The sequence below is a fragment of the Homo sapiens genome, chromosome 4, assembly GCF_000001405.40.
Source record: "Homo sapiens chromosome 4, GRCh38.p14 Primary Assembly".
In the NCBI taxonomy this organism is placed as follows: Eukaryota; Metazoa; Chordata; class Mammalia; order Primates; family Hominidae; genus Homo; species Homo sapiens.
In genome coordinates, this window is record NC_000004.12 from 187927074 (window position 1) to 187952713 (window position 25640).

Sequence of the window (25640 nt, forward strand, 5' to 3'; positions counted from 1 at the left end):
GATCTCGGCTCACAGCAACCTCCACCTCCCAGATTCAAGTGATTCTTCTGCCTCAGCCTCCCAAGTAGCTGGGATCACAGGAATGCACCACCAAGCTAATTTTTGCATTTTTAATAGAGACAGGGTTTAACCATGTTGGCCAGGCTGGTCTTCAACTCCTGGCCTCAGGTGATCCTCCCACCTTGGCCTCCCAAAATGCTGGGATTACAGGCATGAGCCACTGTGCCTGACCTGACTTTCTATCTTGATGACCTGTCTAGTGCTGTCAGTGGAGTATTGAAGTCCCCCACTATTATTGTGTTGCTGTCTTTATCATTCCTTAGGTCTATTAGTAATTGTTTTATAAATTTAAGAGCACCAGTGTTAGGTGCATATATATTTAGGATTATGATATTTTCCTGTTGGACAAGGCCTTTTAGCATTATATAATGTCCCTCTTTGTCTTTTTTAACTGCTGTTGCTTTAAAGTTTGTTTTGTCTGATATAAGAATAGCTACTCCTGCTTACTTTTGGTTTCCATTTGCATGGAATATCTTTTTCCACCCATTTACCTTAAGTTGATGTGTCTTTATCTGTTAAGTGAGTCTCTTGAAAGGCAGCAGATAGTTGGTTGGTGAATTCTTATCAATTCTGCAATTCTGCCTCTTTTAAGTGGAGCATTTACGCTATTTACATTAAATGCTAGTAGTGAGATGTGCGGTACCATTCCATTCATTGTGCTATTTGTTGTCTGTATACCTTGGTTGTTTTTTTTTTAATTGTATTTTTGTTTGATAGGTCCCGTGAGATTTATGCTTTAAAGAGGTTCTGTTTTGATGTGTTTCCAGGATTTGTTTCAAGATTTAGAGTTCCTTTTAGCAGTTCTCGTAGTGCTGGCTTGGTAGTGGTGAATTCTCTCAGCATTTGTTTGTCTGAAAAAGATTTTATCTTTCCTTCATTTATGAAGTTTAGTTTCACTGGATACAAAATTCTTGGCTGATAATTGTTTTTGCTTAAGGAGGCTGAAGATAGGGCCACAATCCCTTCTAGCTTGTAGGGTTTCTGCTGAGAAATCTGCTGTTAATCTAATAGGTTTTCCTTTATAGGTTACCTGGTGCTTCTGTCTCACAGCTCTTAAGATTCTTTCCTTCATCTTAATTTAGATAATCTGATGACAACGTGCATAGGTGATGATCTTTTTGTGTTTAATTTCCCAGGTGTTCTTTGTGCTTCTTGTGTTTGGATGTCTAGGTGTCTAGCAAGGATGAGGAAGTTTTCCTTGATTATTCCCCCAAATATGTTTTCCAAACTTTTAGATTTCTCTTCTTCCTCAGGAAGGCCAATTATTCTTAGGTTTGGTCATTTAACATAATCCTAGACTTCTTGGAGGCTTTGTTCATATTTTCTTCTTTTTTCTTTGCCTTTGCAGGATTGGGCTAATTTGAAAGCCTTGTCTTCAAGCTCTGAAGTTCTTTCTTCTGCTTGTTCGAGTCTATTGCTGAGATTTTCCAGAGCGTTTTGCATTTCTATAAGTGTGTCCATTGTTTCCTGAAGTTTCGATTCTTTTTTATTTATGCTATCTATTTCCTTGAACATTTCTGCCCTCATTTCTTGTGTCATTTCTTTGACTTCCTTAAATTGGGCCTTGCCTTTCTCTGGTGCCTCCCTGATTAGCTTAATAACTAATCTTCTGAATTCTTTTTCAGGTAAATCAGGGATTTCTCCTTGGTTTGAATCGAAGTGAGCTAGTGTGATTTTGGGGGGTGTTAAAGAACCTTGTTTTGTCATATTACCAGGGTTGGTTTTCTGGTTCCTTCTCATTTGGGTAGGCTCTGTCAAGAGGGAAGGTCTAGAGCTGAAGGCTGTTGTTCAGAGTCTTTTGTCCCACGGGGTGTTCCCTTGATGTAGTACTCTCCCCCTTTTCCTAGGGATGTGGCTTTCTGGGAGCCAAGCTGTAGTGATTGTTATCTCCCTTCTGGGTCTAGCCACCCAGCAAGTCTACCCGGCTCTGGGTTGTCTGCAGAGTCCTGTGATGTGAACCATCTGTAAGTCTCCCAGCCGTGCATACCAGCATCTGCTCTGGTGGAGGTGGCAGGAGGGTGAAATGGACTCTGTGAGGGTCCTTATCTTTGGTTGTTTAATGCACGATTTTTGTGCTGTTTGGGCTCCTGCCAGGAGGTGGCGTTTTCAAGAGCACATCAGCTGTGGAAGTATAGGGAGGAACAGGTGGTGGTCAGGGCCCTGGAACTCCCAAGAGGATATGCCCTTTGTCTTCAGCTACCCGGGTGGGTAGGGAGGGCCATTAGGTGGGGACACGGCTAGGCATGTCTGAGCTCAGACTCTCTGTGGGTGCGTCTTGCTGTGGCTGCTGTAGGGGATGGGGGTGAGATTCCCAGGTTAATGGAGTGATGTTACTAGGAGGATTATGGCTGCCTCTGCTGTGTCATGCAGCTTATCAGAGAAGTGGGGGAAAGCCACAGTCACAGGCCTCATCCAGCTCCCATGCAACCCAAAGGGCCAATCTCACTCCCACCATGCCCCCGCAACAGCACCAAATCTGTTTCCAGGCAGTGGGTGACAGGGCTGAGAACTCGCCCCAGGCTCCCCACCTCCCAGCTGTGAAAGCAAGTAGGGCTTTCATGCTTCCCCTACTGTGGAGTCTGACTCGCGCCCTCCCCCGGGTTCTGGCCAGGAGACTTCTCCATCAGCTCAAATTGTTACAAAGTTCAGCTGGAGGTTTCCTTCTCCCTGTGGCCTTCTCCCAGTGCCTCTGGCAGCCCTCCTCAAGGCCCCCGTGAGGCAGGGCAGAAATGGCTTGCTACGGGACCCATCGAGCGAGCCCATAGGGCTCTTCCTGCTGCTTCCTCTACCCCTGTATTTCACTTGGCTCTCTAAATTGACTCAGCTCCAGGTAAGGTCAGAATCTTCTTCCGTGATCTAGACCTTCAGGGTTCCCAGTGAAGGTGTGTATTTGGGGGCAGACAATCCTGCTTTCCCACTTCCGCAGTTTGGGCACTCACAGTATTTGAGGTATCTCCCGGCTCCTGCAGGAGCAATCCACTTCCCTCAGAGGGTCTATGGGTTCTGTCGGCTTTCCTGATTTGTTCCTGCAGTCGCTCTGGAGCAAGTGTTCACAGTGCAAGGCTCCACATGCTGCTCTGTCTGTCTGAGTGGAAGCTGCAATCTAGTCCTGCCTCCCGTCTGCCAAGATCCTCCCACTTTCATCAAAGTCTTAAAACATGCCGCGTGCCTGTAGTCACAACTACTCGGGAGGCTGAGGCAGGAGAATCGCTTGAACCCGGGAGGCGGAGCTTGCAGTGAGCCAAGATCACGCCACTGCACTCCAGCCTGGGTGACAGAGTGAGACTCCGTCTCAAAAAAAAAAAAAAAAAAAGTCTTAAAACAAACATCACATCAGCAAAATACCGTGCATTTGTAGAGTAGGTGAGCCTTTTGGAAAATGTGTTCCCCCATCTAATTACATTCCCAGCACTAGCTGTCACAATGCCACCATTAAAATGGGGAAAGACAGAGAATTTAAAAAACAAAAACAAACCAAAAAAAACCCAGATTTTTAAAATGTGATCAGTTCTGACACTGCAACTGCTATAAAACCAATAAAAAATACAATAGAAAGAGAGCGGGTTTGGCATGAAGGGCTGTCTTAGTTGTCACAGATGCCCTCTCAGATGATGAGCAGAGGTGTTGCCCTGTCCAGATCTGAGCATACAGCTTTCTACATAAAGGAAACAGTGGGTGCAAGGCCCTGAGGCTGGAACGAGCTTGGCATATTTGAGGAACCACAAGAAGACTGGGGTAGTTGGAGAATAGCAAGCTATGACAGAGTGGAAGGACTGTGACAGGAGATGAGGTTGAAGAGAGACAAGAACTAGAAAGGGAGAACTCACAAGTCATAGCCTGGAGTTTAGAGTTGATGCTAAGGGCCATGGGGAGTCACTGAAAGTCAGGGATGTGTAAGTAATTAATTGGGAATTTTTTAAGTGAATATATTGTCCGCAAAAAGTTTGTGAAGCAGCTTATATCCACTATTCACTTTTTACTTAAATAAATTTACGCCTATTTTTTTTTCTTTTTTGAGATGGAGTCTCACTCTTGTCTCCCCAGCTGGAGTGCAATGGTGCGATCTCGGCTCACTGCAACCTCCGCCTCCCAGGTTCAAGTGATTCTCCTGTCTCAGCCTCTCCAGTAGCTGGGATTACAGGTATGCACCACCACGCCTGGCTAATTTTTGTACTTTCAGTAGAGACGGGGTTTCACCACATTGGCCAGGCTGGTCTCAAGCTTCTGACCTCAGGTGATCCACCCGCCTTGGCCTCCCAAAGGGCTGGGATTACAGGTGTGAGCCACCGCACCCGGCCTAATTCACGCCTATTAATGTATTTTTCCCAAATGCAAATAGCTCTGGTTTTCATTTTCTTATAAAATACCTGAGATTCTTTCACTGCGAATCCTTCCAAGTACCTATGTTTTTATAATACCCTATGTTTCTTTACCACATCAATTATAGTTACGGTTATAAACAAATTAATAATTGGAATAATTATCTATTTTTGTCTTTTCTTACAGACTGTAAGCTCGTGTGTGCAGATTGAGTGCTTGAACACTCAGCACATAACTGAGATGCCAGAAAATACTTTCATTAAATAATTACTATAATCATATAAGCTTTATTCACTTACTATAATATGAATATTTCTCATATCACCAAACTTTTGCGTTCTACACTTTTGTATAGTTGCAATATCCTGCTGTTGACTAATGAAGTTCTTCCAAGTTTCAAGAATGAATTTTTATTCTACATAAAAATGTTCCTATTTGCTTAAATAGTTAACTTACAGGGATTTCTTAGGTCCCTGGGCTGCTGTCTTATCTCAGTGTAAATAATAGTGAAATGGAGTCTTTTAAAGTGTCTCCTAATATGTTGTGAGTTGATTTATGTCCCTGAAAAAAGGTATGTTGAAGTCCTAACCCCTGGCACCTTAGAATGTGACCTTATTTGGAAATAGGGTCATCGCAGATGTAGTTAGTTAAGACAAGCTCATACTGGTGTGTAGGGGTGGGCCCTTAATCCAATATAGTAACTTGAATCCTTATTTAGAAAGAGAAGGCATGTGAAGAGACAGACACATACACAGAGAGACTCCCTGCAAGGACTGCAGTTATGCTGCCTCCAGCCAAGCCACTACCAGAGGCCAGGAGAGAGGCTTGGAAGAGATCCTGCCCCAGGATCCTCAGAGGGAACATGGCCCTGCTGACTCCTTGATCTTGGACTTCTGGCACCTCCATAACTGTGAGATAATAAATTGCTGTTGCTCTAAGCCACCTACTTTGTGATACTTTGTGACAATGGTCCTAGGAAACTAATCCATCGTCAGAGACAGCTAAACTACACTTGCTCATCTGGGCAGAAGTTGTGCAGATCCATCTTAATCATACCCCAGAGCCATTGCTGTGATGCCCACAAAGCTGGATCTCAAGTCACAGGGACAAGAGATAAAGGGGTAATTTACAAAATTAAACACAGCCTGCCCAGTTACAGTTCAATTTTAGGAAATCATATTATATAATACTGGAACATACTTATACTTAAAAAAAAAAGGTGTTGTTCAAGGTCAGGAGTTCGAGACCAGCCTGGCCAACATGATGAAACCCCCATCTCTACTAAAAATACAAAAATTATCCGGGCGGGGTGACAGGTGCCTGTAGTCCCAGCTACTCCGGAGGCTGAGGCAGGGAATCGCTTGAACTCAGGAGGCAGAGGTTGCAGTGAGCCAAGATCGCACCACTGCACTCCAGCCTGGGTGACAGAGTGAGACTCTGTCTCAAGACAAAAAAAAAAAGGTGTTGTCTATCTGAAATTCAAATATAACTGGGCATCCTATGTTTTTATTTGCTAAATCTGACAACCCTAGGAAGGCGACCAGCAGGAGGTAAACATGCCCTTGGGACGTGCTAGGGCAGGCGATGTCTTCACTTCTGAGCACTCACCCTGGCGGTCCACACTTAACAGGAGTTGGCCCAGAGAGACGGAAGCAATCCATGCAAATCCCCTCTCAGGCTCAGTGAGATGCATTTGGAAAAGGTGAAAAAGATGTGCCTCAGAGAATCAGAGAAGCAAAAAGAGTGACTGCTAGAAGACTGTTGTAAAATGAGTGGGTAAAGCCCTGTTGGAAATGGAAGAAGATAAGAAAATAAAAACAAATCCTCCTATTGCCATTACTTGTGCTTTGTGACATTGTTTATTAACCAAGTAGAAATATTACCTTAAAATACCAGAGATTATAACTAAGACACTGGAAGAGGGATGTAAGAAAGAATGTTTAGTTTCTGTTTACTACTAGAAGAGGCTCAAGAAAATGTTGAAGTGTAACACAGAAATGAAAATGTATTTTAAGGCTGAGTGCGGTGGCTCACGCCTGTAATCCTACCACTGTGGGAGGCCGAGTAGGGAAGGCTGAGTGTGGTGGCTCACGCCTGTAATCCTACCACTGTGGGAGGCCGAGTAGGGAAGGCTGAGTGTGGTGGCTCACGCCTGTAATCCCAGCACTTTGGGAGGCCGAGTAGGGCAGATCACCTGAGTCAGGAGTTTGAGACCAGCCTGACCAACATGGCAAAACCCTGTCTCTACTAAAAATACAAAAATTATCTGGGCCTGGTGGCGTGCGCCTGTAATCCCAGCTATGCCAGAGGCTGAGGCATGAGAGTCACTTGAACTCGGGAGGCGGAGCTTGCAGTGAGCCGAGATCGTGCCATTGCACTCCAGCCTGGGTGACAGAGCGAGACTCTGTCTCAAAAAAAGTAAAAATAAAAATAAATATTTGAAGAGGGCTAAACAAATTACAGCAAAATTTCCTGGCATTAATATAAGAGCAGATGAAGATGTCCACTCTCATTTGATGTTTGTGATAGAGAGGATGATGGAAGGGCCCAAAGTTAGATAAATTCAAGAAGCTCGCAAAAGAACGTGCACTTCTGGGTGTTCAGACAAATGGATCTGGCAGACACAAAGCCCAGAGGCTGCAGGTGAACTAGCTTGAGGATAATGAATAGAAAATGCAAACTACCCCCAAAAAGAGTGACACAAGGAAAATGACGTTCTGAAGTAAGAAAGGGGCCAAAAACAGGAAAGACGGAAGCAGGTAAGTTTGATAATGATGCTGAAAAGGCCTAAACAGGATTTTGACGCAAGAGATAGAATTACTTTCCCAAATTGCAGGGTTCAGCATCCAGAATTCAGTTGTCAAGGTTGAATTCAAATTTGGGTTAGGATTATCCCAAACAAAAATGATAAGGAACACTCCTACATTATTGTGGGAATAAATCCAAGGGAATTTACTTAGGCTGGGGAAAGTATGTTTAAAACTCAGTAGCTCCCATTTCAATGGCAAAGACACAGTAATTTTCCTAAAACAAGAGGCCTGCTGTGCATTTTCTAGTAAGAACCTACAAAACTGAAGCTGGTGAATAAATCATTTAAATCAAGGAAAGGAGATACGCTGCAACGCTTAAAGCATCCTAGAGGAGTGTGACTGTCAAAAATACCTTCTGATTATGTGACGTGTTTAAGACTGGAGCTCTCACGAAGGATCCATTTGACCACTGTGCAATCTAAGCGTGAGGAGAGTGTGAAGGTCAGTGATCTTTCTGCTAATACTGAACATGTCTCAGACTACGCCACCGGAGACAGGGAGTTGCATCAGGAAACACCAAAGGAAGAGCAAAAGGAGAAGCTGAAAACACAAGAAAACCAAATGCATTTATAAAAAAAAAAAGAAGAAGAAACATCAAGCTGCCTTCTTCAGGTCTAGGAGACTGTGCATTGAATTTGCACAGAAGTTTCTAGCGTGATGGATGAAACCTGGTTGCCATCCAACCAGGAAAAAGAAAAAGCAACATTAAATGTCGCCAGGGCCTTTTCCCTGCAGTAATAACACAACTGGCAAGGATATCCTGAATATAGCACATAAATATGTTCTTTCTGCTTCTTGCTAGCAGGAGATACAAACAGCCTCTTCCACGTTTTCATGTTCATGTTTATTAAAGTCACAGACATAAAATGTTAAGGTTCTAAAGAATGAAAATGTCAGTGTTGGTATAAAAGTATGAACACCTTGCACAGGTTATTTTAGGAGGAAAATTTGATCATGGCACCATATATTTTCATATATATTTTAGGATTATCCACCACCATAAATGACATTTCTCAGACAACTGTAAATAGATCACTGCACATTGCAGTCATTTGTTCACTGAGCATGCACAGCCAGGTGCTGTGGAGGGAACAAACATGAAAACAAACACACACAAATGTGGGGCCCGCCTGCCTTCAAGCTCCAAGAGCCAGACTCTCTAATGAGCCATTAAGCATGATCAGAAACACAAAACGGAAACAAAACCACACCGTAATTTAAGATAAAAAGTGATTAAGTGTCATTAGAGAAGCAGAGGTAAACTGTAACCAGAGTTCTGAGAAGAGTGTCCAGGGACAAGCTGAGAGGCCGTCAGCGTTGCACGAAGCCTTGCTGCCTGCTTCAAGGACATCTGGTCTGCCGGCATCTGAGGGAAGAGGCTGAACAAAGTATTTCCTTAGCACAAACAGAAAAATAAATACTTTGAGTTATGTAGGATATTGACATTGGTGTTCATGTACTTAGTAGGTCTCATACTGTTTTGCTGTAATAACCCCAGTGGTGAAGAAAAGCAAATGTATACCCCTAGTCAATGTGGGGTGACGGCCCAAGCATCCTGTCTCAAACAAAACATGTTTTTGCTGTCTCTTTTGTTGTTGTTGTTTTTGAGACACAGTACCCCAGGCTGGAGTACAGTGGTGTTATCATAGCTCACTGCACCTCAAATTCCTGGATTCAAGCAAGCATCCTGCCTCAGTCTCTCAAGTAGCTAGGACTACAGGCATGCACTACCATGTCTGGCTAATTTTTTCATTTTTTAGTAGAGATGGGGGTCTTGCTATGTTGCTCAGGCTGGTCTTGAACTCCTGGCCTCAAGTGATCCTTCCACCTCAGTCTCCCAAAGTGCTGGGTTTACAAGTGTGAGCCACCATGCTGAGTGAATGTTTCACATTTAATCTCAAAAATTCATGTAAATTGTTCATTCTACTGCATATCATATCCTAGTTCAGTTAAAATGGAATCGTTAGTTATCAGGAAAATAAAAATAAAAACCATAATAAGATACCACTTTATAACCACTAGTATAGCTATAATAAAAAAGACAGATAATAACAAGTGTTGGCAAGGATGTGGGGAGGTTGGACTCTTCTCATACATTGCAGGTGGGAATGTAAAATTCTGCAGCTGCTTTGGAAAACAGTCTAGCAATTCCCCAAATGGTGAAATATAGACTTACCATATGACCCAGAAATTCCACTCCTAGGTATCTACCCAAGAAAAATGAAAACCCATGTCCACACAAAAACTTGTATACAAATGCTCATAGCAACATTATTATAATAGCCAAAAGCGGAAACAACCCAAATATCTATCAACTGACTAATGGATAAACAAAATGTGATGTATTCACATGATGGAATATGATTTGGCTATGAAAACGAATGCTTCAACCTGGATGAACCTTGGAAACGGTAAGTGAAATAAGTCAGTCACAAAGGACTGTATATTTTATGATTCCATTCACGTGAAATGTCCGGAATAGGTAAATCTATAGACAGATAGTAGATTAGTGGTTGCCTAGAGCCAGAAAGAACAGGGAAATACAGAGGTGATGAACAAAGAGAATAGGTTTCTTTTTGGGGTGATGAAAATGCTCTAAAATTGAATGTGGTGGTGATTGCACGGCTCTGAATAGACTAAAAATCATTGAATTGTACACTTTATATGGGTAAATTGTATGATGTGTGAATTCTATTTCAATACAGTTGTTGCAAAAAAAGAAATTTATATTTTTAAAATTTTGTTTTTAGAGACAGGGTCTCCAATCTGTCACCCAGATTGGAGTGCAGTGGCGATCATGACACTGCAGCCTGGAACTCCTGGCCCCAAGCGATCCTCCCTCCCCGCTCAGCCTCTCAAAGTGTGATTACAGGCATTAGCCACCTTGCCTGGCCTAAAATGGAATTTTTAAATCCTATGCTTAAAAAAAAAAAAAACTGCAATAGCACATGCTAAGCTTGACAAAGGCGACTAATAGAAAAATTTCTGAAGGAAAACAGGCAAGTCTGCCATATCCCCTCCCCCGAGGTTATTAAAAGTTAGCAGTTTGGAACATACTTGCCAGCCTTTTTCTATGCTTTTACCTACTAAATGTGCACTTAGACGTTTATGTACGTGCATTTATGCAACCTTGTTTCTAAGAAAATTAAATAATTTGCTGCCAGCATACTCATAACCTCCCCATTCTTTCTGCGAAGTGGCTACTTCCTATACCACTGGAACAAAAGTCGTGTGCGTAACCCAACATGAGAAGCGCACGATTTAGTTCAGTGTTCTCCGTCCTCCACGGTTCGCAGTTGTCACCTCCAAGGCCTCTGAGGATGAAGGACTGGGACAGGCAGAGGCAGAGCCCCTGCCGGGAAGCAGAGAACATTAAGGTGGCAGCCTCAGCCCTGCCTCTCCACTTGCCCAGGCCAGCGTTCTCAGCGCACCTGCCGCGCCACACCCCCCGTGCCACACCCCCCTGTGCCACACAACCCCCGTGCCACACAACCCCCGTGCCACACGGCCAACACACGCCACACGCCCCCGCGCCACACGCCCCCGCGCCACACGGCCCCCACGCGCCTGCTGCTGCTTCCTGCCCTGGCACCTGTCCTCCGCTCTCTTCTCTCTGTGCCGCCCTCTTCCATTGAGTGCTGCCGCTTACCCAGAGCCGAAACGTCATCTGCCCCTGGGATTTCCGTGGCTGTTCTGAGTCCCACACATTCATCTCCCTCCAGTCCTGGAGGCCTCTAGGACTGCGGTAGGGAGGGGAAAGCCGCCGCGAGTGGGCCAGCTTGTCAGTCACCAAACCCCCTGCATTAGGACTAATTCTTACCTCATATGACTTGTTTCCTTTTGCTTTTAGAGACGGAGTCTCGCTCTGTCGTCCACACTGCAGTGCAGTGGTGTCATCGCAGCTCACTGTAGCCTTGAACTTCTGGGCTCAAGCGATCCTCTTGCCTCCGCCTCCCCACTAGCTAGGACTACAGGCAGGCACCACCACGCCTGGCCAAGATTTTATTTTATTTTTTGTAGGGATGGTCTCACTATGCTGCCCAGGCTGTGTGGTCCAAACTCCTGGCCTTAAGTGATCCTCCCACCTCGGCCTTTCAAGGTGCTGGGGTTCCAGGCATGAGCCACTGCAGCTTGCCTGTTTTGAGGATTACTCGCATACACAAAGAGGCATGCAGACTTCAGCAAGGTGATTTTTATTTTCAAGATCACAGAGCTAATCAATATCGGAATCTGGATTGTGACACAGATCCCTTCCTCCATGTTTAATACACTTTCCACTCTACTTCTGATATGCTTTAAACAGTATTCCAAAATGATTGTTAAAGAGGACATTTTGAACATATGTCAGTAAAATAATTGTATTACAGGAAGCAAATAAGGAGGCATGATTGTGGCATTCTCAGCCATTTTTAAAAAAATAGTTCATGTTTCCTCTTAGCACTTCCATTGTGTGAGCAGAGTCTGTAATAACGTGCTCAGTCTACAACATCACTTCATATTTTTCATTTCATATGAGTTCATTTTTTGCAGGTATAAGAAACTATCTTCAGGTTTCAGATAAAATTGCAACTGAACTTTTAAAACCTAAGTTTTTGTTGAGTCCAGGCCATAAAAATCTATCAGAAGGACCTAAGCCATTTAATCATCCAGATTATCAGCACTTCTACAAAAAGGTTTTAAATGGCAAGAAGATAAAATGTTAAGTGAGGATAGTAATTATTTGCCTTTATCTCTTGTGCCAGGTTTCAAACCTCACCATATGGGTGTTTGTGCAAGATTAAATAGCTATTCAAGTGTGTAATGAAGTATAGATACTAAATTGAACCAAAAGATATAGCATGGAATAGGTCAGAGAAGATCCACTCTGCAGAAATGGACTATGAAAGAGTTGATTGATAGATATTCATGATTCCAATCCGACGTGTACTTTGAGGGCCTTTTAACAAAATAGAGAAAATTCTTCTTTTTAAATTATTTCCTATAGGAAACAAAATACTACGGGGGAAGTAGCAAGGAAATTTGGGGTGAAAAAATAGACTGCCATCTGCAAATATCCTCCAGAAGTAGACTGAATGAATAACTTGATTTGCTCAGGATGGCCCAGTGTAAGCATTAATAATTAATGTCAATCTCCTTTTACTCTTAGAAATGTCCTAGTTTCATAAATTACGGTCACTCTATCTGGAATGATTTTTGAGAGCTATCGTCAGAGTCAAAAAAACTTAAGCATGAAACTTGCCTCCACAATAAGTCACTAAATGTGCTTTCAAGAAGACACTTGAGAAGGAAAGGGGTTATAAAAGGTTTAGAAAATCTGAGCTATACTCTAGGAATGTGATAGTCAACGTGTGTGTGCATATGCATAACAGGGAGAGGGAGATTGGGAGGCCGAGGCCGGTGGATCGTTTGAGGTCAGGAGTTTGAGACCAGCCTGGCCAACATGGTGAAACCCCGTCTCAACTAAAAATACAAAAAATTAGCTGAGCATGATGGCACGCGCCTGTAATCCCAGCTACTCGGGAGGCTGAGGCAGGAGAATCGCTTGAGCCTGGGAGGCAGAGGTTGTCACGAGCTGAGATCGCACCGCTCAACTCCAGCCTGGATGACAGAGTGAGACTCTGTCTCAAGAAAAAAAAAAAAGAGAGAGAGAGGGAGAGAGAGATGGAGAGATAAGCAACAGTTTAGGTCATCTGATGCAGGATCTGTTCACCCTTCACTCAGAACTCAAACAATGGGGAATGGTAAATGTATCAAGATTCATGTAAAACTGGAATAAAATCAATATATTTTAGAAGCAAGATGTGAATTTTTCAGGAAACACAGAAAAGCAAATAGGATGAATGCTTTCGTTTGTAAAAATTTCCAAGATATACTATTAGATAGCAAAAGCATACAGCAAAACATAAAGTGTGATTCTATTTTTTGAAGACATATTAAATATTTGACATGCTTTAGAAAATGTCTGAGGGACTACATACCAAACAGTTAATAATAGTGTTGTAAATGGGTAATTGTTTCTATCTGGGTTAAATGTGATTACATGCTTACTGCTTCCCCTCTGTGTGTGTGTGTGTGTGTGTGTGTGTATGTGTGGGTATGTATGTGTGTGTGTATGTGTGTGTGTGTGTGTGTGTAAGTGTGTCTCTCCGCCTCAGTCACAACAGAGGTTTCTTCTTCAGTGTGAACCCTGACATGAGAAAACACGCAGAGCCCAGCAGAGATTCAGCTGCCTAGCAGCCGCGTGCAGTGTGAAGAAGAAATCAACAGAGGGTTTCGGTTACAGCACAAAGTGACTAATACAAGCGGTCATAGGTGAAGGGCAAGATTCCTAAAAAGCGTTTTTCCGCATTTATTTCTATGATGAAAGACTTTCTTATAGCCAGTACTAATGATGAAGCTGTGCAACAACAATGAAAAAAATTCAAGCTTCTCATTTATTCCCTTCTTACCCCCTCCTCATTCACAGCCACAAAGGAAGTACTACCACCACCAAACCACCAAAAGGCAAAGGGTAGACAATGATTTTCTGAGGTTTCTTTCACCTCTAAGTTATATATATATTTTTTTGAGACGGAGTCTCGCTGTCGTCCAGGCTGGAGTGCAGGGGCGCGATCTCGGCTCACTGCAAGCTCCGCCTCCCAGGTTCACGCCATTCTCCTGCCTCAGCCTCCCGAGTAGCTGGGACTACAGGCACGCGCCACCACGCCCGGCTAATTTTTGTATTTTTAGTAGAGACGGGGTTTCACCGTGTTAGCCAGGATGGTCTCGATCTCCTGACCTCGTGATCCGCCCGCCTCGGCCTCCCAAAGTGCTGGGATTACAGGCGTGAGCCACCGCGCCCGGCCTCTAAGTTATAATTTTTATTGTAAAAAATAGATGCATATTTAGATATGTGTGACTTTGGGGGTTGTGTTTTAAATAGCAGCTGATTTTGTTTTAGTCTATATTAGCATCTCAGGTTCTTTTTTAAAATCTAAGCAAATCAAAATGACTTTTCAGACCAAATGTGTAAGTTTTAATCCATCCTAATTTCATGATGAACTAAAAAGCACAACTGGGTCATAGTGGAATCAGGTCATTCAATATAAATTACTACATAACTAATTCAGTTGCAACTCAATTGAAAAGGTAAATAGTCATGACAACCAAGCTAAACAATTCTTCTAAGGTAGTTTATGGAAACATAGGCAAGGCTTCTTTTCATGAATTTTAAAACATCCTTCCTTTGTAGAGATGGTGAAATATGTGCCCTCCTTTTCCCCTAGTTTCTCCTCAGATAACCTCATTCAACCTCATGGTTTTAAATACCTTCTCTCTGTGGCTGCTGATGACCAAATTTTTAATCTAGCCCTGAAACACTCTTCAAACATTCAGACTTCTTGAAATCAAAACGCTTTCTTGAAATATCTCATAGGAACCTTGAATCAATCTCAACCAGGAGGAACTGCCTGACTTTCTCCAGCATTTCCTACTTCAGGAAATGCCATTGTTAAAGACATGTTCGCTGAATAACCTCAAGGGTTGAGAATTCAAGTGAAATACTAAAATTCAGTCTGCTGCCATTTTAAGTAGCCATAAAAAATTAGGTCCCCTATATAAAGAAATACATCAAGTTCAAAAATCTTTAAAATTAAATGGAAAAGATATTGACATGTCTTAGGATCCCATCAAGGTTTGAGTTTTATAACCTGTATTCTGGATAACCTCGTTTCACTGAGATGGTAAATCTTTTTCAGTAGGCTATCTTTCCACATGAGGAAGATTAAGAACTACGTGAAAATGTTTAAGAGAATCAAAGCCAAGATATAATATTTTGTATTAAAAAGAATCCCTCTCTACTTGGTACTTTATGTTATAATGTTTAAGATCATTTGAGGAATTACAATGACAGCCTTTTAACTTTAATTTATGTACAAATTAATAATCTGTTTAGATTAATGGCTTCTGTTATTCTCTGTATCACAGTAACACAAATGCACATCTCCACATACAATTTTTTCTCAAAGTTTTATACAATCAACTGCCTATTTGACATCTCCACTGGAATGTCTAAACAGAAACCTTACGTGTTAGGTGTCCAAAACCCAGTCCTGACTTTCCCCCTAAACCTGCAGCCTTCCCCATTTCAGTTGATGACAAGTTCATTCTTCTCTATTCCTGAGACCAAACTCCCTGGAAGTCATATTAGACTCTGCTTTTCTCACTCCCCACATCCAATCCATTATGGAATCCTAGTTACCTGAAGTTTGCACATATCCCACATCTGACCTCATTCACTTCCACCAAAGTGACTTCTGCCTCCTTTTTGCCCTAAAGACTGTTCTAAACATAGCAGTCAGAGTGATCCAGGTAAGACCTAAATCAGATGCTGTCTCTCAGCATCACTCAGAATAAAAGACAAAGTCCACACAAGGCCTGAGGAGCTTTCCCTCCCCATTACCAGTTTAACTTAATCTGCCGCTGCCCTGCCCCTCAATCTCCTCGGACAAAGTTGGCACGCTCTCTGCACTGGCTTTGCACTGGCTCTTCTCACTGTCCAGGACTTCCTTTCCCCAGATCAACTTGGCAAATTCCTTCACCTGCTTCACATTGTCACTTAAATGCACCGTCCCAATAAGACTCAACCTGTCCATCCTGTTTAAAATTACAACTCATTTTAAATTCCCAATTGCTCTGATCATGTTCTATTGTTTTCCTTCTTCCATAGCAGGTATGTGCGTATCACCTAATTATCACATCATTTACTGATTTGTTACACTTATCATTTTTATTTATTGGAAACAAATGCTTTCTATTTGACTGTATTAATAAGTTCCGGGAGGAAAGGGGTATTTGTGGATGCTTCCCAAGTGCTTAGATCAGTGCCTGACACATAGTGGCCACTCAATACATATCTATTATTGCTGACTTGCGACTTTCAGTAAACATCACACTAAGTTAACAACAATATCATATATTAACACATGAGGAATATTCCAAAAAATACAGATTTTCCGCCTCTCAGACCAGATTGCTGCTTACTTGGTGTTTTGTTTGTTTGTTTTGTGTTTTTTGTTTGTTTGTTTGTTTGTTTGAGACGGAGTTTCGCCCTTGTTGTCCAGGCTGGAGTGCAGTGGCCTGATCTTGGCTCACTGTAATCTCTGACTCCTGGGTTCAAGCAATTCTCCTGCCTCAGCCTCCCGAATAGCTGGGATTACAAGCGCACACCACCACACCCAGTTAATTTTTTGTATTTTTAGTAGAGACGGGATTTCACTATGTTGGCCAGGCCCAGTTAATTTTTTGTATTTTTAGTAGAGACGCGGTTTCACCGTGTTGGCCAGGCTGGTCTCCAACTCCTGACCTCAGTAATCCACCCGCCTCGGCCTCCCGGAGTGCTGGGATTCCAGGAGTGAGCCACCACGCCCGGCCCTCCTTGGGATTTTTAAGGTAGTGCATTACGGTCCATCTCACTCACCTACCAGCTTCTTCAAAACATCTTCAAGAAACAAATTCCCATTTTGGTTGAAGATTGCACTTTGACACACGCATTTAAGTATAACAGTATATTCTATAGTAATTTGAGAAGTCCTGTTGGGGTTAAAAAGCAAATTCTTTATGTCTCCAATGTACTTTCTCCACTATGATCAGTGGCTTCTCAAGAGTAACTCCTTGAATAAGTCACACATTTCTGCCAGTTTAATACCAGTCTTGGCTTCTCTCTGCCTCAGGATGCAGCCAATACTCCTGAATGTGGCTAAGAAAGTCCTTCATAAGCACGTTTCTGCCATTCCTTTAGAATCCTCTTTTGACACAATTCCCTCTCAGCAGAAACATAAACTCTACCTGAACCTACCATTTTCTGCCTTTAGGTTTTAAATATGCTACTCTCTTTGCCTACATCACCTCATTCGCTAATGCCTACTCAACCACTTGATCACATTCCAAGCTTTTAGTTTTCTTCCTTCCCAAAGACTTCCTTAATCCTTCAAGAACTGGATAAAGGGTTCCCTGAGTTCTCATAACTTCTCATAATGACCCGCATCTTTGCACTGTTCCCTCCAGTGAGCTAACACAGTGTTGGGATGAGGGAGGCGCTAAAGAGACACTTGCCGAATGAACGAGTGAATTTTCTGAAGAAGCAGCCAGTGAATCGGAGCCGGCAATTTCTCTCTCAACAATGCTCTCTGCTGTGCCATTCAACGAGGCCACAATGCCATTGTGTGACAATGGTATGATGACACTGCTTGGGCCATAACAGAATAATTCTCCAGATAACATATGCACTTGTTATGCAGCTAGATGCTTTTATGATTGCTTTTGGAGGTGATGTGGCAAATAAATTTTTTACTTTTATAGGACTGCTGACATCTCACAGAAATTTTTGACAAATATTCAACTCAGATATGATTTTGGTTCTACTTTATGGATTTCCTGATCCTTTATATACTACATTTTATTTCTTTATGAGCTTACTCTGTTTCATTTTTAGCCCTCAAATTCAATGACCAAGATAATGTAACAGCATGAGCACAGAATATGACCTCTGCTCAGAAGAATTCCATTTCCATGTAATATATGTACAGGGCTTGGTGAAGGATGAAGCTGCTCTTCAGCCTCCCTCTAGTTATCAACTAACACAGCAATTTCTGATGCTTTATTATTTTTTTCCTGAATGGCTTTTTCTGTAGTACCCATTCATGCCTTCTGATCTAATTAGTATAATTAGCCTTGGACACATAAGAAACAAAGCAACAAATAAAAAAGCCCATAAAATTCCATTTCAATACCCTGCCTTTCATAGACTTTATGGAACTAAGTATTCAGCTGTCTTCATAGCTCATAACCTTTAATCCTAACATCAATCTCAGTGTTCTATTCAATTACAACTGCTGTCTATTGAGAAGTAGCAAAGGTTTTGAAGAGTTTGTGGGAACGTGGAAGTTGCCCCATTCATTTTCATTAGTAAACTCAGGAGACACAAATTTCACTAAAATTGCTGACACTGTTCCTGCTGTGTCTGGATGATTTATTATTAGACTTCATATTTCTTCCAAAATATGGTTTAAGGAACTCAAGAAAATCATGCGATTGTTTTACCTGAAATATGATGTAATTTTATCACCTGTGCACTAAAGTTGCTGACTGCAACTTGGACAGAATAGCACAAAAGGCTTTGCATGGCTGGAGGGAAAGGAAATAAAGAGTGAGACCCATAACCAGCACAGAGTACAGCACGGTTAGTTCCTATGACAGAGACAACAGAGGAGAAGGTGTATGTTGTATTTGTTTTTCTGAGACAGGATCTTGTATGTTGCCCAGGCTGGAATGCATTGGCATGATCACAGCTCACTGAAGCTTCAACCTCCTGAACTCAAGTGATCCTCCCGCCTCAGCCTCCCAAGTAGCTGGGACTATAGGCATGCACCACCATGCCTGGCTAATATTTTTTTAAATTTTATTTGTTGTACAGATGTGGTCTCACGATGTTGCCCAGGCTGGTCTCGAACTCCTGGCCTCAAGCAGTTCTCCCACTTCGGCCTCCCGAAGTGCTAGGATTACAAGAGTGAGCTGCCACACCCGGCCAAAGTGCACATTTTAAAAAGGCAACTTGCTGCACCTAGAAAAATAGAAAACAATTGTTATTTAAAAACCAAGTCATGACCTTTTGAGGCAATATCCCAGCGCTAAACGGCAAATGTTATCACTTGTAAAAGCAATTAAGAAAATTGTTAGGCTGTGGTGACAGTGTCACTGAGGAGCTTTTAAGAGTTATTTTCCTAAGAACAATATGCAAGACCTTGCACACCTAGCCCAGCTTACTTGTCACGGCTTATAACCCGAATGCCATCCCACTGTCCACACTTAAGGAACACAGTGCTGGCCCAGCATCCCCATTCCCGGGTGCACTTTAGGACCACCTTGGGAGCTGTTAAAAATTATGGCTGGGTGCAGTGGCTCACACCTGTAATCCCAGCACTTCGGGAGGCCGAGGCAGGAGGATCACCTGAAGTCAGGAGTTGAAGACCAGCCTGGCCAACATGGTGAAACCTCATCTCTACTAATAATACAAAAATTAGCCGGGCATGGTGGTGCATGCCTGTAATCCCAGCTACTCAGGAGGCTGAGGCAGGAGAATCTCTTGAACCCAGGAGGCGGAGGTTGCAGTGAGCCAAGATCACGCCACTGCACTCCAGCCTGGGTGATAGAGCAAGACTCCATCTCAAAAAAATAAAAAATAAAAATAAAATAATTATGCCTAGGACCCAGCCCAGACCGACTGAGTCAGAATCTCGGCGGGGAGCATTCCGGGTGATTCTAAGGTCTGGGCTCTGCGGGGAGCATTCCGGGTGATTCTAACGTGTGGGCTGTGCTGAGAACCACGGCTTTCACCACATCGAGCGACTGACCTTGCTCCAGTCAAAGAATCTTTTCCCCCCTTTTGCTCATGTCACTCCCTCAATCTGCTTTTATGCAGTTTTGGCTTTGTCTCTCCAGGCTTCACTTAAATGCTGCTTTCCTAAAGCAATCTCCATATTCTTCCAGCTTTTCCTAAAATCCACTCTTGGATCAGCTAGATCAGCTGAGAATCGGAAACCGGCGCTGAACTGTACTAGTATCCTACAGAAGCTTCTTGACCTCTCCGCATCCAGGCTTCCACATGCCACCACCAGCCTATTTGTTCTTACAATACATGACCCAGTCACATTCGTCCTGTTGAGGACTCTCACTAACTCAGAAGGTATTTTCAAGCATGTGGAGTACATTACAATTTTCTCTTCATGGCAAATTTCCAGGAGTAATTTCTTCTGATTCTTAAAGGAGTGACATTTGTCTCGAGCAATAAGGATTTTTTGTTATCTTGTGGATGTTAGGAAGCATGTAACTAATCCGTTTTCTCTTTATGAGTTTGCTGCTACAAAGTTTAAAGCCAATCTGTGACCCACTGGTGGAAGATGTGGTCATTATCTGCATGATTTCAAATGATTTCTGGCTTTCTTTTCTATTTCCAACCCACATTTTTCATTATTTGCTGATGGCAAGTTTAATTTGTGCTATCTTGTTGTGCTTCCCCTACTAATTTATTTTACCTTACATTGTTTATTGAACAATATGGTGCAAAAGTTAAATTAAAAGCAAATTTCTCTTGAGTTGTTTCCAATATTTGTGTCAAAATTATCCCCTAATCTGTGCTTCTATAGTCTTTTCTTTTTTCCCAGATCGCAACCCTAATGTTATTCTACTTTGCTTCGTAGTTAGCTGTATCTCCTCTTTCCAATTCTAAGTATCTTGGAAGATAATGAACATATATCTTATGAATTTTGCTAAAATCCATAAAAAATAAATAGAAATTGGTTAATAAGTGTTTATCATTGCTTGCTGCTAAGAATACAGAGCTAATAATACTTGCTTTGAATTCCAAGTTCATTATGCACCAACTGGAGACCTTAAGCAACTGAATCTCCAAGCCTCTTTTTTCTAATTATGAAAGAGGAAAAATCGAAAATACTGTTTACCTCACAAGATTGTTAAGATGCCGAAATAATTTTTGTTAAGTTACTTTTTAATGGCGAAATACAACCCACATGACTAGTAAAGAAAAGGTCTAGAAAGCCTCATCTGTGACTTCCTTATATACACATGTATACACACATGCGCACACACACTGAGTCTCAGACACTAGGGGAAAGCTTCGGCCCATGGGTAAAGAGGTAGGCAGAAATGAGATTCCCGCGAGGTCTTCCTAGCCAGGACGAAAGCTTCCAGATCACAATCTAAGAACAGTGGGATACCACTGAAGGATTTTAAGCAGATGTGTAGTGAAATTGCATATTTCAGTCTTGGAAAGTGACTCTGGCTTTTGTGCTCTAGAAAGCATATGGATACGGGGAACGTGACAGTGAAGGAAGCAGGGATATCTGCTAAGCAGCTACTGCAATAGCAAATGGGAAAGCAAGATCAGCTTAAGGCACCCTGACATCATGAGGTAGCCACACTGAGATCCAAAGCTATGTTCTTTCTTTTTTATTATTATTATACTTTAAGTTCTAGGGTACATGTGCACAACGTGCAGCTTTGTTACATATGTATACATGTGCCATGTTGGTTTGCTACACCCATTAACTCATCATTTACATTAGGTATATCTCCTAATGCTCTCCCTCTCCTCTCCCCTCTCCCCATAACAGGCCCCAGTGTGTGATGTTCCCCACCCTGTGTCCAAGTGTTCTCATTGTTCAATTCCCACCTATGAGTGAGAACATGCGGTGTTTGGTTTTCTGTCCTTGCAATAGTTTGCTCAGAATGATGGTTTCCAGTTTCATCCATGTCCCTACAAAGGACATGACCTCATCCTTTTTCATGGCTGCATAGTATTCCATGGTGTATATGTGTCACATTTTCTTAATCCAGTCTATCATTGTTGGACATTTGGGTTGGTTCCAAGTCTTTGCTATTGTGAATAGTGCCGCAATAAACATACGTGTGCATGTGTCTTTATAGCAGCATGATTTATAATCCTTTGGGTATATACCCAGTAATGGGATGGCTGGGTCAAATGCTATTTCTAGTTCTAGATCCTTGAGGATTCGCCACACTGTCTTCCACAATGGTTGTACTAGTTTACAGTCCCACCAACAGTGTAAAAGTGTTCCTATTTCTCCACATCCTCTCCAGCACCTGTGGTTTCCTGACTTTTTAATGATCACCATTCTAACTGGTGTGAGATGGTATCTCATTGTGGTTTTGATTTGCATTTCTCTGATGGCCAGTGATGGTGAGCATTTTTTCATATGTCTGTTGGCTGCATAAATGTCTTCTTTTGCGAAGTGTCTGTTCATATCCTTTGCCTACTTGTTGATGGGGTTGATTTTTTCTTGTAAATTTGTTTAAGTTCTTTTTAGATTCTGGATATTAGTCCTTTGTCTGATGGGTAGATTGTAAAAATTTTCTCCCATTCTGTAGGCTGCCTGCTCACTCTGATGGTAGTTTCTTTTGCTGTGCAGAAGCTCTTTAGTTTAATTAGATCCCATTTGTCGATTTTGGCTTTTGGTGTTTTAGACATGAAGTCCTTGCCATGCCTATGTCCTGAGTGGTATTGCCTAGGTTTTCTTCTAGGGTTTTTATGGTTTTAGGTCTAACATTTAAGTCTTTACTCCATCTTGAAATAATTTTTGTATAAGCTGTAAGGAAGGGATCCAGTTTCAGCTTTCTACATATGGCTAGCCAGTTTTCCCAGCACCATTTATTAAATAAGGAATCCTTTCCCCATTTCTTGTTTTTGTCAGGTTTGTCAAAGATCAGATGGTTGTAGATGTGTGGTGTTATTTCTGAGGCCTCTGTTCTGTTCCATTGGTCTATCTCTCTGTTTTGGTACCAGTACCAGGCTGTTTTGGTTACTGTAGCCTTGTAGCATAGTTTGAAGTCAGGTAGCGTGATGCCTCCAGCTTTGTTCTTTTGGCTTAGGATTGTCTTGGCAATGTGGGCTCTTTTTTGGTTCCGTATGAACTTTAAAGTAGTTTTTTTCAATTCTGTGAAGAAAGTCATTGGTAGCTTGATGGGGATGGCATTGAATCTATAAATTACCTTGGGCACTATGGCCATTTTCACGATATTGAGTCTTCCTATCCAAGAGCATGGAATGTTCTTCTATTTGTTTGTGTCCTCTTTTATTTCGTTGAGCAGTGGTTTGTAGTTCTCCTTGAAGAAGTCCTTCACATCCCTTGTAAGTTGGATTCCTAGGTATTTTATTCTCTTTATAGCGATTGTGAATGGGAGTTTACTCATGATTTGGCTCCCTGTCTGTTATTGGTGTATAGGAATGCTTGTGATTTTTGCACATTGATTTTGTATCCTGAGACTTTGCTGAAGTTGCTTATCAGCTTAAGGAGATTTTGGGCTGAGACGATGGGGTTTTCTAAATATACAATCATGTCAGCTGCAAACAGGGACAATTTGACTTCCTCTTTTTCTAATTGAATACCCTTTATTTCTTTCTCCTGCCTGATTGCCCTGGCCAGAACTTCCAACACTATGTTGAATAGGAGTGGTGAGAGAGGGCATCCCTATGTTGTGCCAGTTTTCAAAGGGAATGCTTCCAGTTTTTGCCCATTCAGTATGATATTAGCTGTGGGTTTGTCATAAATAGTTCTTATTATTTTGAGATACATCCCATCAATACCTAATTTATTGAGAGTTTTTAGCATGAAGGGCTGTTGAATTTTGTCAAAGGCCTTTTCTGCATCTATTGAGATAATCATGTGGTTTTTGTCTTTGGGGGCAGTCTGTCCGTTCTCAGATCTCAAACTCTGTGCTGGGAGAACCACTACTCTCTTCAAAGCTGTCAGACAGGGATGTTTGACGTTCTTTCATTTTAAAGTTATTATATAATCATGGATTCATTTGTCTCTTTGGAAGCATCTTCTCTGTATAAGTAATTAAAATATTTTCAAGCAAAGTACTTTCACAGTTCTGCAGGCTGTGCAGGAAGCATGGAAGCTTCTGTTTCTGGGGAGGCCTCAGGAACCTTCCAATCATGGTGGAAGGCAAAGGGGGAGCAAGAAATCTCACATGGTGGGAGCAGAAGCAAGAGAGAGGTGGGAGAGGGAGGTGCTACACACGTTTAAACAACCAGATCTCTGGCGAATTCACTCACTACCATGAAGACAGTATGAAGAGGATGGTGCTAAACCATTCGTGAAGAATCTGCCCCCATGATCCAGTCTCCTCTCACGTGGCTCCACCTCCAACATTGGGGATTACAAGTCAACATAAGATTTGGGTGGGGACACAGATCCAAAGCATATCATTCTGCTCCTGGCCCTCCCAAATCTCATGTCCTTTTCACATTTCAAAACACAATCATGCCTTTGTGATAATCCCCAGAGTCTTAACTCATTCTAGCATTAACTCAAAAGTCCAAAGTCTCCTCTGAGACAAGACTAGTCCCTCCCATGCATGAGTCTGTAAAATCAAAAACAAGTTAGCTACTTCCAAGATACAATGGAGGTACAGGCATTGGGTAAATACTCCCATTCCAGTAGGAAGAAATTGGCCAAAAGAAAGAAGCCACAGGCCCCATGCAAGTCTGAAACCCAACAGTCATTAACTCTTACAGCTCCAAAATCGTCTCCTTTGATTCTATCCCTCACATCCAGGGCACACTGATGCTAGGGGTGGGCTCCCAAGGCTTTGGGCATTTAACTTCTAAAGCTCCATATCTAAAATTAAAGATGAATGGATAACTTTTTACTATATTAGTTTTTATTCTTAATGTATTTCTCTTTTTGTGTTTTGTTTTGTTTTGTTTGAGACAGGATCTCGCTCTGTCACCATGGATGGAGTGCAATGACATGATCTCAGCTGTCTGCACCCTCCACCTCCCGGGCTCAAGCAATCTTCCTGCCTCAGCCTGTCCCAAGTAGCTGGGACACAGGGCACACCACCATGCCCAGCTAATTTTTTGTATTTTTTGTAGAGACAGGGTTTCACCATCTTGCCCAGGCTGGGCTCAAACCGTTAGGATCAAGCAATCCACCTGCCTTGGCCTCCCAAAGTGCTGAGATTACAAGCGTGCCATCTCTCCTGGCCCTAATTTCTCTTTATAAAATCAGATTTTGTTGGAAGTATCCTGTTTGCTAAAACCTTGATATCTGATGCACTTAGCATAGAAATCAGGCTGGAAAAACGAATTTGTAATAGATATCTAAAACTAAAAAATGTAAGAGTCAGAAGCTTAAATTTTTACCTCTTTTTGGACGGATGTTTTTCTAAAATAAACATTTTCCTGCCTTTTCAAGTAAAAACATTGACAATAATAAAAATGTCCCTTAATCATCCTGAATCATTAGATATTAGTTTTATTCTTCATGTAATTGACTCAGTGGTGTTTAGGACTAGTGGTCTCTAACTTCAACAAGTGTGGGATGGTCCATGGCGTGAAAAGAGGGATAGGGTTTGTCTGACCCTCTCTAGTGGGGATGACCCACGGCCTTTGCTGATGCCTGAAGCCTACAGCAAGGCAATGTGTACAAACAGTGGCTTCACCTTCCAGAACATTTTCTTTCTCTCTGTTCTTAGTAGTTTTGACTTGTCCACACCATTCAAGCTAAGTGTCCTTTATAACAATAAAGTTGAAACTAGCAAAAACGTCCAACTCTGTGTGGTTCATTAAATACTATACTGTTGTGAGCAAGGATGTAATTTTTGTCAGGGATGGGCTTCCCCCATGCCCCCTCTAAGATTACATAATACCCAAAATTACATAAGATTACACCTAAGATTACATAATACCCAAAAGAAAGGGTAGCCCTAAAATAGTGATGCTGAGGAGATACTAGTTACATGAAAAATGATCACAAAAACAATAAGAACTCACATGACAGATTTTTCACTTTTAAAAATGTATTTTACATAATAGTTTGATATAAATACATTCTATGGGAGAATAATATATATATTTATATCAAATAT

The 25640-nt window shown here is 42.0% G+C and overlaps 2 long non-coding RNA genes across 3 annotated transcripts in view, besides 1 other annotated feature; one reads left to right on the forward strand and one right to left on the reverse strand.

The window, feature by feature from the left end:
• Window positions 2099-2599: an enhancer, noted in NCBI's record as "H3K4me1 hESC enhancer chr4:188850326-188850826 (GRCh37/hg19 assembly coordinates)". NCBI's record gives its function as "activates a minimal SCP1, AML or CMV promoter by ChIP-STARR-seq in naive H9 embryonic stem cells {active_cell/tissue: H9 hESC(naive)}" and the evidence as "EXISTENCE:reporter gene assay evidence [ECO:0000049][PMID:30033119]".
• Window positions 4160-5322, forward strand: LOC124900880 (uncharacterized). The gene is made up of 2 exons (XR_007058511.1): window positions 4160-4201; window positions 5099-5322. It is a non-coding gene; the product is annotated as an uncharacterized LOC124900880 (long non-coding RNA).
• Window positions 5323-15090: 9768 nt separating this feature from the next.
• LOC124900881 (uncharacterized) overlaps window positions 15091-25640 on the reverse strand; it is a 50716-nt gene continuing 40166 nt past the window's right edge. For both annotated transcript variants that reach the window (XR_007058513.1, XR_007058512.1), the window contains one exon: window positions 15091-18789. This is a non-coding gene — a long non-coding RNA (uncharacterized LOC124900881). The remainder of the gene's footprint in view (window positions 18790-25640) is intronic.